The sequence below is a fragment of the Homo sapiens genome, chromosome 5 (assembly GCF_000001405.40).
Source record: "Homo sapiens chromosome 5, GRCh38.p14 Primary Assembly".
NCBI lineage: Eukaryota > Metazoa > Chordata > Mammalia > Primates > Hominidae > Homo > Homo sapiens.
In genome coordinates, this window is record NC_000005.10 from 65,819,544 (window position 1) to 65,831,974 (window position 12,431).

A 12,431-nucleotide genomic window follows, 5' to 3' on the forward strand; every position below is an offset into this window, starting at 1 on the left:
TAATCTTCTAGGATTAAAAAAGCCACAGAGGTGGATGACACTGGTTTTCCTCCATAGGAAAGCTCTAGTTTTTACTGTATGCAGATCTTCCTGAAGGATGTTTCTAATATGAAAAATTTTAGCAGTTGTCTTAGAGCTTCTTTTCTTGATTTCCTCACAGTTAGTTTCTTTATAAACAAAGTATTAATAGAACAACTTAGGGCAAAGACTCCCTCCACCTGTGGCATATGTCTCCCAGACCACGTTCTCTCACACAAAAGAGCCTGGTACCCCCCGAAACACAAAAATTCACTTAACTATTTTTTTTTCCCTAAGAAAAGCAAGATCCTGTTACCAAAATGACTCTTAAACTCTTCTCAAAACTTCATTGCAAAGGAAATGAAACTATTAAAAGACCATTGCTCTGTAATTCAGGAAATTGAATCAACTTGTTTGGAGCCATAGGCAGAGGAAGATTTGAGCTGTACTGAGCCACATATTGTGAGACTAAACAGTGCCCTGCTCTGAAATGATTTTACCATTCATGAGCTGTCTCTTTATAACACCATGGAGCTCCTCAAATGCTTCCTTTTCTTTACTACCTAAAATTACAGTTCTCTGCACAAAATGAAAATACTTTTATCAGATGTTCACATTTGGAGTGATTTTTTAAAACTTTCATTTCAATTTTCCTTAATGTTTCTATACTTGTCAAATGCGTATGTCTTTTTAATAAATAAAAGATACATGATACATACATCTTGAGGCTGAAGAATTTCTGCAGACGAAATATTGATGATTGAGACTGGATGATAGGTTTGTGAGAGCTCATTATACTGTTGTCTCTACTATTAGTATGTATTTTAAGTTTTTCATAATAAAATGTTTAAAATATTTTTGTAATTCTGCAGAAAAATTTAACTCACATTGTCTGCGTTCTTCCTGTACTGCTCTACCCAGAGAGCACAGTCTTTCCATGCTCCTCCCACTAATTTAACACTAGTCAAATTTTGGCATTTTGACCAAAGAAAGGAAGGGAAGGGAGGTAAATTGTGGTTGGGCTCAAGAGCCATGATATGCTCCTTCTTAGCTTAATTAAAATCCATGACAAGCACAGCCATCACTCACATTTTAGATTCTAGATTGCTGCTGTAGTAGTCATGAATTGCTGCAGAACAGGCAAGAAATGACATGTTTTTTTTTGTTTGTTTGTTTGTTTTCCCGAAAGCTAATTGAAGGCTGGGCACAGTAGCTCACACCTGTAATCCCAGCACTTTGGGAGGCCGAGGCAGGCAGATCACTTGAGGCCAAGAGTTAGAGACCAGCCTGGCCAACATCGCAAAACCCCATCTTTACTAAAAACACAAAAAATGAGCCAGGTGTGGTGGTGTGCTCCTGTAATCTCACTTACTTGGAGGCTGAGGCATAAGAATCACTTGACCCCTGGGAGGCAGAGGTTGCAGTAAGCCTAAACTGTGCCACTGCACTCCACCCTGGGCGACAGAATGAGACTCTGTCTCAAAAAAAAAAAAAAAAGAAAAGAGAGAAAGAAAAGGAAAGGCAGAGGCAGCGGCAGGGGCAGGAATGGGGGGCGGAAAGGGAAGGGAGCTAATTGAATCTAGCTTCAAGCCCTCGTCGTCAGGTTTGGGAAGTTCGGTATCAGTGACTGAGTGCCTTCTCTTAAGAAAATTGATTGAAAACTTGTAAATAAGGCAACAAGACTGCTGTGTACCTTTTTAATATCATACTAGAACACTGTGTAGCAAACCTTCCTAAAGACTATTTTATGCTCTGGGCCCTAGACCTGTCCAGTATGGTAGCCACGTGTAGCTGTTGAGCGCTTGAAATGAGGCTAAGTACAACTGAAGAACTGAATTGAGATGTACCATAAGTATAAAAAACACGTTGGATTTTGAGCACTTAGAACAACAGCAACAAAAGTCTCCATAATGTGTATATTGACACGTGTTGAAATGATACTATTGTAGATATAGTGGTTTAAAATAGTAAAATTAATTTTACCTATTTGTTTCTTTAACTTTAAAAAAATGTGGTTAGTAGAAAGTTTAAAGTTACATATGTGCTTCATATTATGTTTCTGTTGGACAGTGCAGCCCTAGAGTTTCTGAGAAGGTAACTTTGACTAGTTATTTACTCCTGATTAGAGTCCAGACTGTGAAGTTACATGTTGGCCTATAGATGATTAATAAGCTGCAAATGATTTCTATTTATAGCCAAAAGGTAACCCCAAAAGTTTGTGTTCTTATGGCCCTAGGACATAAATCATTTTGTGTCTGACTTGGTAGATTTCATCCATGTTTTATTTTCCTTAAAAGTTTGACTAAATTTACCTCTGATGGTTGTACCAATCAAAATGTTGTTATACGACAGAGCTGGAAATTCTCTAGCTCTTCTTGTACTAAGTCCTTTTGATCAAGTGATATAATGGATATAAATTTAAGTGTTACTCTGTGAATTGTTTATTATCTGTATATTTGGAATTATGCTTCTGAATTGTCTTGCCTTGTTTCCTTAAAAGGACAGTGAAAGGGAAGTGAAAATATTGAACAATGCTGATACTGAATAACAACTATTTTCTTTCACTCTATCTGCACCTGTGTTTGTGTAAATAAAAGTAGAGGAACTGTGACGTTTTAAAATTCCAGACCTCCATCCCCAAAGAAAACTTTCCAAAGGTCCTCATTCCCAGCATCGGACCCACAAAAATGTCTTGCCCTCCCCTGCGGGGCACGTACAGCCCTTCTTCTCTCATCCATAAGGAAGAGGGTTCTGTTGTTGTTGTTTTGAATGAGCCCATCATAAAAGCAGCAGAAACCATTTGACAGTAGCCATGCTACTGTTTCTGAGTACCCAGAAGGCTATTTGTAGCCTTCGTGAACACTTGCTTTCTAAGCCTTTTGAAATCACGAGAGATAGCATAGCAAATAGGAACCTGTTGTATATTCCATTTGGCTATATTTTGTTTGTTTGTTCATGTTGTCAGCTCACTGCTTAGAATCTAAGGAGACAAGACCATAATAAAGGACAGTGTAGAAGACCTGAAGTTTTAAGCTCCAAATCTCTTAGCTACCAAAATAAATAAATACTACAGAGCTGTTTGTGAGCAAGAGAAAACATCTAGACAGAGTAAGGCTAAAGTCCTTTTTCCTTCACCCCTACCCTCTCCTCTTTTGCATCTAGAGATTTGGAAAATTGCTAGAACCATGAATTATTAGGTATGATGTTTTATTTTATTAGGTTGGAATGAAATACAGAAACCTAATCCTGAAACCTGGGGGATCTCTGGACGGCATGGACATGCTCCACAATTTCTTGAAACGTGAGCCAAACCAAAAAGCGTTCCTAATGAGTAGAGGCCTGCATGCTCCGTGAACTGGGGATCTTTGGTAGCCGTCCATGTCTGGAGGACAAGTCGACATCACCATGTGTTACTGGCCTGGAAACTGAAGGGAGTTTTGCAAGTGAAAATTTAGATTTCTATTGACATCCTTTTGTTTTCTAATTTTAAAAATTATAAAGATGTAAATGGAATTATAAATACTGTGACCTAAGAAAAGACCCACTAGAAAGTAATTGTACTATAAAATTTCATAAAACTGGATTTGATTTCTTTTTATGAAAGTTTCATATGAATGTAACTTGATTTTTTACTATTATAATCTAGATAATATGATATAAGAGGGCTAAGAATTTTTAAATTGAATCATATATATGATATAATTTGATCCTTCTTGTATCTTGAAGTTTTGTACTTGGGATTTCTGGACTGATAAATGAATCATCACATTCTTCTGGTAAATATTTTCTTGGAGCTCTGTGTCAACTTTGATCCTTTGTCTCCCAGGAAGGTGTGACCTCTCCTTTGCCTGCATACCTCAAGGCCAGGGGAATATGCCTCAGTGATGCATTTATCTTTGTATATCAGGCCGCATGATTCCCAACTTTCTGCCACACTTAAATTACGTTCCTCCATTTCAGTTTTGTCTTTTCTGTCTAAAGTTCAGTCAAAGAGTATCAAAAAATTATGTTTCAGCTAGACTGGTGTAATGTATAAGTTTTTGTATCTTGTATTAGAGGATTTCGTAGCTTTTATTAGAGGCTCATTTCCACCTCAGCATACAAGATCGTTAGTCTTTTGGCATGTGTGCCAATTAGAATACTAAAGCAAGTCCAAGCACATTTTTCTCTTCTCACGTTTCTAATAAGTGTTAGGGACTTTGCCTCTTTTACTTACCACGTCCCCAAAAGTGTCAGGTAGACATGTCACAAATGGCTCTGTAGAGAGCCATGGGAAGAGAGAGGAGGTGGATGTGGAACATAAAGGGTTCAGAAACTCCAGAAGAGGAGTGGGTTTTGGATAGAAGCATTTGAGGACAGCTGCTCCAAAGCCTTATGTGTATGATGAAACTTAACCACGGGGAAGAGACTCTTCAGTAGCCTGTTCTGTCTGGTGATTTTTATTTTAAGTGAACCTTTGGATCTATCTTTAACTCTCTTTATTGTGAGTCTAAATTCCAATTCTGCAGCAGATCAGTAAACTCACAGTATTTTTCCTGTGGAAATCTATTCAATAAGGAAACCAAGACAGGATAATAAAATTTAAAAAAAAAACAACTTTGAATTCCCCTGCCTAGGTCTTCCAGTTGTTTTCCAGCGCATACCTCAGGTATGACTTTGCTAGCCGGGGACAAAATTAGCACCTTCCGATTCTCTAGTCCAAATGAACTTTGTGCTAAATAAAAAATTATTATACTACATAATAAAGTTACAGATAGCAGGAAATGCAAGAGCTAGGAGATTCCTAGATTATATCTGCCAAGCAAATACCTTAAACATCCACCTGAAATCCTACTACCCCCTCTTCTGAGATAATTTGCCCAGCCCTTCTCTTCCCACACACTCACTCAATGTCACCCCCTTCTAATCCCCAAAACTGTTTTTGTGGTCTTTGTAGCCTATAGTAGTTTTCTCACATCTTTCCCCCTAGACTTTTCTGTTTTTCAGTTTCAGACAAAAAAACTCTTCAGCTTTTTCCAGTGTGTCTCCTTAACAGTAACTTTACCACTTGAAATCTTATTTCATAGAAAAACTAAATTGGTGTGGAAAGGCTGCACACAATAAAGTTATATTATTATCCATGAAAATGAACTCATATTTCTTTCATACTTTAACGTTAAAACCGAAATGCATGAGAGCAAAAGCACCATGGTGTTCTTTCTATTTAGGGCCTACCTCTAATATTTAAAATCTACCAAAGAGCAGTCACAAAATTAAAACTCAGCCCGGGCGCAGTGGCTCATGCCTGTAATCCCAGCACTTTGGGAGGCCAAGGCAGGAGGATCACCTGAGGTCAGAGTTCAAGACCAGCATGGTCAACATGGTGAAACCCTGTCTCTACAAAAATACAAAAAGCTGGGCATGATGTTGGGTTCCTGTAGTCCCAGCTACTTAGGAGGCTGAGGCAGGAGAATAGCTTGAACCCGGGAGGTGGAGGTTGCAGTGAGCTGAGATCATGCCATTGCACTCCAGCCTGGACGACAGAGTGAGATTCAGTCTCAAAAAAAATTAATACTCAAAGAATTATCTAGCATAATTTAAAAGAAAGGACTTTTTAAAAATTCTCTAGCATAATTCAAAAGAAAGGACTTAACTTTTTTTTTTTTAGTGTGGTCATCCGTCTAGTTGTTCTTTTTTTCCAGATCAGAGCAGAGAATATCACTGACATGCTTGAAATGGTGGATAACTATGTAAATTGTAATTGGACAAATGTACACTTTAGATTTATGGACTGAGCCACATATAATAAGGTCTCTCCTGGTAATTGATCCAGGGGATTTAGGCCTCTTTCGGGTTTTTTGTTTTTTTTTTAGGCATTGTTATGTTGTGAAGGATAAAATCTTCAACATCTTATGCAAATGGATAGTAGGCATGATCCTAAAGGTTTAGTTTTACGATGCTGCAGAGAAGAGAAATGTCTTGACGTTTTGCCACCTGATGTAGACTTTGTCCCCCTCTAGTATAAATGTTGCATGTTACCTAGATAAACAACTAAAAATTGCCTTGAGTTATCACCTGAGCTACTTATGCCAAGGTCTTGCCTTTCTAAAGCTAATAAGGTGAGAGGTGGATATCTGTAGCTCTTCGGATGAAAAATTGCATTGTGGGAGATACCAAAATTGAGGAAATAGCTCTTCAAAGAAAAATTACTGATATGATCATTGTACTTGTAAATGCCTTAAGTAGCAGGCAGTGACTCAATTTTCTACTTTACCATTTTACCTTTAGCTTTTATGTATGAATTATAGGTCTGTGGAGATTCTGCCTCCCCACTAGGCCAGTGTGTGTTTACCATTTATTCATTTTCTATCATACACAGGTGGATTAAAATTTACATTAAAATTTACATTAAAATACCATCATACTTCAGGCTTCTATAACAAAATATCAGACTGGGTGGCTTCAAAAGCAGACATTTCTTACAGTTCTGGAAGCTGGGAAGTCCCACAATCCACATGCTGGTAAATTTGGTTCGTGGTGAGGCCCCTCTTCCTCTTTTACTGACCACATCCCCAAAAGTGTCAGGTAGACATGTTACAAATAGCTCTGTAGAGAGCCATGGGAAGAGACAGGAGGCAGATGTGGAACATAAAGGGTTTAGAAACTTCTGCAGGCAGCAGTGGCAGGGAGCAAGCCCTAGAGTGTCTCTTTTTACGAGAGCAGGAATCCCATCATGAGAGTTCCTTCCTCATGACTTTATCTAAACCCAGTCACCCCCAACAAAGGCCCCACCCCCTAACCCCATCACATTGGCTGTTACGGCTTCAATGTAGGGGATGGGGCACAAACATTCAGTCCATAACGAATACTGATTCCTCAAATAGGGTTTAAACATAGTTAACTGAGCCCCCAAAGAATGTTAAAAGAGAAAATCCATTTTATTTGAATAGATGCAGTGACCACAGCTTCTTCCCTCAAATCAACACATTACAGTTAGATGTCTCCCATCTGAAATTGGATAGCCCACTGAAATTGAACATGCCTTCTCTTATAAATGTGTGGTGAGAATAAAAGCAACAAAGAAATGAATGTGGTGGCTCACACCTGTAATCCTAACACTTTGGAAGGTTGAGGCAGGAGGATCCTTTGTGCTCAAGAGTTTGAGACCAGCCTGAGCAACACAGTGAGACCCTGTCTCTACAAAAACTAAAAAAATTAGCTAGGGATGGTGGCACATGCCTGTAGTCCCAGCTACTTGGGAGGCTGAGGTGGGAGGATTGCTTGAGCCCAAGAAGGTCAAGGCTGCCATGAGCCATAATCACGCCACTGCACTCCAGCCTGGGTGACAGAGACCCTGTCTTAAAATAAAATAAAAAAAAAAGGAAAAGGAAAGACATACATACCCTCAGTTCTTCGAAAAACAGTCAACGTCCAAAAAGTTTATTTTTTGAGTCACCTTTAATAGAGAAATTTCCCACTGGAAACAGATCCACCTAAGTGATTATCTAGTATCAGCTGTATCAAGGCAAAAGGTAAAGGTTATAAGATGTAAATATTAGACCAAAATAGCCTTTTTTAACAAACACAATAATGCTGTACGTCTGTAACAAAACAAAATTTGAAAAATTGAGGTAATGTACACAGCGATGCACACACCCCCACACCACACCGTGATTCCTGAGTTTTGATTTGGTTGAATTCACCTTGTAGTTCCCTTTCCTGAGAAAATACAGGTTCAACACATCTAGTCCACGATGTACGTACAAGGGGAAGGGGTGAACAGGAAATAGACTCCCTTATTCTGCTCACATGAGCTGGAACCTGTACTAGCTGCATATTTCATAGACCCCAGAGGCTCACCTCAATTGTACTCCTATGATAAAATGTCTCTAGCATTTGTCATGAGAGAAACTGGCTAGAAATAGTTTGTTCATTGCGTCCAGCAAGACACGCATTGCTGTTGATATCTTTGTGGCTAAGATGGAGAATGTGACTGGATAATAGTTATCCAGGTGGATTACTAGCTATTGAAACAGTCTGAGATAGTTGCATGATGATTAACGTTAAACTGGGAGTAATTTCAAGTCATTTGGCTAAAAATGAAAAAAAAGTCCCATAAAAAGGTATCAAATGTACAGATAATAGGGCTGGAATTATTAAGTATGATGATGTTATTAACATCTAAAATTATTTTGGCCGGGCAAGGTGGGTCACGCCTGTAATCTCAGCACTTTGGGATGCCAAGATGGGTGGATCACCTGAGTTCAGGAGTTCAAGACCAGCTTGGCCAACATGGCGAAACCCGTCTCTACTAAAGAATACAAAAATTAGCCAGGTGTTGTGGCACATGCCTGTACTCCCAGCTACTCAGGAGGCTGAGGCAGAAGAATCATTTGAACCCCGGAGGTGGAGGTTGCAGTGAGCCGACATTGTGCCGCTTCATTCCAGCCTGGGCAACAGAGTGAAACTCTTGTCTCAAAAGTAAAAAAATAATAATGTTTAAAAATATTTCAATGTGGAGACAAGCTCAAAATGAAATTAGACACATTCCATTACCCAGGTAAAAGAAGGGGAAGCCTGACTTGATAGTAGTATTCAGGAAAAAAGAGTTGGCAGTTTTATTTGGCCAAATTCCAATATCAGCTCATGGTACAGCACACCGGGGGAGGGGGACGGGAGGCGAGAACTAAGGCTTTTTAAGAATGTGTTGATGGAAGTATGTGCCTAGATCAAAAGAATAATCCCCCCGGACTCCAGTGTAAGATCAATTACTGTTGGAATATTGTGTTCCTTTCTAGATATCACATTTTAAGCAGACTTTGGCCAAGTAGTACAGTGTTTGCAGGAGCAGTAACAAGATGGTGATAACTTTGAAAATACTTCTCAAAAGAAAAATAAAAAAGAATTAGGGAAGTTCAGTCTGGAGATAATTCAGAAATACAGATGATAATTGTTTTCAAATTCTTGAAGGAAATGGGAGAGAGAATAGGCTAATTCTGTATTGCTTCAGAAACCAAATGGAAACAATTAAATTCCATTAGAGAAACGGTTGGAAAATATGAGGAGGATTTAGTTCAGTACGAGGAAGCTGTTTCTAATACTTTTTGTTGGTTAAAAATACATTCCGCTGCTGTGGAAAGCCTGTAGCTGCCAGGAGTGTTACAGAGGGCATTCCTCCCTTGAGTTGACATTTGTGCCAAACCGGCTTTTAGGGCTTCTCCAGCTTTTAAGATGCGATAATGATAAGATGATCATCGGGAAAACATCCCTCAGATGAAACGTTCACAGGCTGGCTCTGAAAACTGGCATTCAGATGATTGCGGCTCCCCCATACTGTAGGAATATTGTTTATGGCTTAAGGTTGCCTCGCTCCTCATCTGTAATCAGTGAAAGTTTATCCAGAGGTTAATTACCGGTTTTCTGGTGGGTATCTGGGAACTGAGGATGGGAGATTAACTGTTGTATATGACCATAGTAAAGCAAAAGACTGTTAGAGAATGAGTAAACGTTCGTTTTCCTCCCTACAGAATTTACAGTTACTCTCTGTCCATTCCACTCACTACTGTCTTCATCACACACACAGAGGCAAACGTCTGATTCAGATAGCCAGGTGTGCCATGCATGCACTCCACCATATTGTGATCTCTTCGAGGCTTGTTTCTGTCCCCTGTCCTCCACAGTCCTGGATTGTTAATGAATAGTTCATACATGTTTGTTAAATAAATATACCTTCTTTAAAATTATCTTTTGTTATAAAGATGCCTTTTTCTATGGTAACTGCAAAATACCTAATTTGTAACTAAACCTAAAACTATGTGGATAAGTTATTTCTACACCTGCGGGGGGCAGATTTCTACATGAGAGTCCTTTCTTAGTGTACTGAGAGTTTCTGCATGAGGTAAATGAAAGAAACATGTTTTTTGTAAAAAAAAAAAAAAAGAAAAGAAAAAAATTGGCAATGGAGAACGTTTCTAAAGCTTCTCAGCTTCTCCCTATGATTATGTATTGAAACCTCGGAATTTGTTCATCTGGTTTTCTTGGGGGGTCTATGAAAAGGGCAGAGCAAGCAGATGTCCCATGATTGCCCTGAAATTATATTAGATATGTTCGTGTGCATGGATACCTGCATTTTTCTAGGGATAGAGTCCTTAGCTTTAATCAGAAGAAATTAAGAACTACTGTCTTTAAAAATGTGCTTTCAAACATTTGTTTTTTGAATTCATTTCAAAGACTCTAACGTGCCCATTATGTGTCAGGCGCTGTGCTTGGCAATGAGGATACAAAAAGACACCCCAGAACTGGAGCTGCTCACAGTGGAGTGGAGAAGGCAAATGAGTTCATAATTTATTGGGATAAATTATAATAGAAAGGCATGTATCCAAAACTTTTCTGTGTTTTCCCCTCAACCCTGGTTGACTCCACTATACAATTTGACTGTGGTGCCACAAAATTTTACATAGTTACCACGCCACCTGCCACCGCAGGCTTCTATTTTTAACAAAATAATTGCTTTTCTCTTTTCAGCATTTCAGGAGTGGGACCAAATGGTGTTCTATATCTGGTATATCCAGGAGTTTCTTAGATCTGGTAGTTAAAGGGCTTATAAAAAAGAGATGAAAATGTTCACTTTGCCACTTTTGTGCAAGTGGTTATAAATTGACAGCCATTAGAAGAATGATGTGGGACCCCTTTTAAGCTGATATGTATTAGATAGCCAAGAGGCATTGGTACATCCTATAAGTCTAGAAAACAGGTTGTTAAAATAATCACTGAGTTGTTTAGAGATGGTCCAGATTAGTCAAGATTTCTTACTTCCTGTTCCCAGCAACTTTTTTTTTGAGATGAGATCTTCCCATGTTGCCCGGGCTGGTCTGGAATTATTGGGCTCAAGAGATTCTCCCACCTCAGCCTCCCAAAGTGCTGGGATTACTGGTGTGAGCCACTGTGCGCGGCCCCATCAGTGTTAATAATTTCCATTACCACCAGTAAGAGCCAAAAAAAGCACCCTAGCATTTCAACCTCTTACTGCCTATTTGTGACTTCTTTATGTAGGGATAGAAACTGACTAAACAGATCAATGGAAGACTAAAGAAGCCTCAGGGCTCCAAGGTTCAGACAAAGACTGGGGCTGGACTTTAAACTTACACTCCATTCCCTTCTGTTTCTTTAAATAATCATCTGCTTCTCAGAAATCCTTGTTTTAGTCTATCAGACCTATATATTTTATTTTCTTGTCTTTTACTTATTCATGTAATTATTTAAATTTTTGATGAGATAATACATTTGATGAGAGAAAGTGGTAGGAGTGATTCCAGACAGGAATTTTCTTTCTCTTTTAATGATTGGATGGATAGGTCTTAAAAGGAATGTAAGACTTTATTCCAGAACAAAGCAGTCATCAGTCCCTTTGTATTCAGGGCAAAGTGGGGAAAACCAAAAGATACATTTTGTCCTCCCTGTTCCAAATCAGATGCCTTTCTATGGTCTTCAACATTTGTGTGACTGACAAGTGGGACTTCTGTTGTAATTCACAATGCAATCACTGTTCTCAACATGCACATGGCCCACTCTGTCTCAGCTTCAATTATAAAATCTTCAGCCAGAGGCTATTATCCTCTGTTTTGTTCAGTCAGCGAGATAGCCAGTGAATTTCCAACTGAGATCAGGTGGCAGGAGAAAAATTTCTCACACTTCATCTATCAAGCCGTTATAGACCCCAGTATATTTCCTCCACTGGGGGGTCCTGATAGGGAAGTTTTTCTGAAGTCATTTGGGAAGGTGTCCTAACATTGCATTTCCATTCCTAATTCCACCTTAGGTGAGGGCAGGGAAATAATAGCTTAAGAAACCGTAAATTCACAGAGCTCCATCCTCCTGTTTCATTATTTTCATGTCACTAATTTTTCAGTAGATAAGCTACATCCTGTGGTCTACCCAGCCATGTGAAGCATTTCTTTCTCTCCTGCCCACCCTTCCTTTCTCCCCAAAGTCCAATTAAATAAATGAAAGATTCTGGGCAAATCTCTCCAAATCCCAGCAGGAACACAACAGAAGTCTGAGGCAAAAAACATAGTTAGTGAGGCCATGGACAACAAATCTAGGTGCTTTTTAATTTGGGAGTGGGGGATTGGAGGCTTTTCTGTGAAACACCCTAGTTTTAAATTACAGTCAGTGTCCCAGTGCCTGCCAGCTAAATGAGAGGTTTGGAAGGATTAGGGTAAGAGTAGACTATATATAACCACTTCTACAAGTAAATGCCTTTTAATTTTTTTCTAACATAAATATTGCAGGAAGAGTAAATGCCTTTTTTAAATGTCTGTGCAAGCTAGGCACGGTGGTGCATTCCTATAGTCCTAGCTCTTCAGAAGGCTTGAGGCAGGGGGATCGCTTGATCCCAGGAATCAGAGGCTGTAATGAGCTATGACTGTGCCACT

General features: G+C 39.1%; 1 protein-coding gene across 4 annotated transcripts in view; it reads left to right on the forward strand.

Moving 5' to 3' along the window:
* NLN (neurolysin) overlaps window positions 1-9,740 on the forward strand; it is a 107,079-nt gene extending 97,339 nt beyond the window's left edge. For all 4 annotated transcript variants that reach the window (NM_020726.5, XM_005248559.4, XM_047417444.1 and 1 more), the window contains exon 13: window positions 3,238-9,740. In NM_020726.5, coding sequence (NP_065777.1) covers window positions 3,238-3,372 — 135 coding nt within the window. In that variant the 3' untranslated portion in view covers window positions 3,373-9,740. The remainder of the gene's footprint in view (window positions 1-3,237) is intronic.
* The last annotated feature ends 2,691 nt before the right edge of the window (window positions 9,741-12,431 follow it).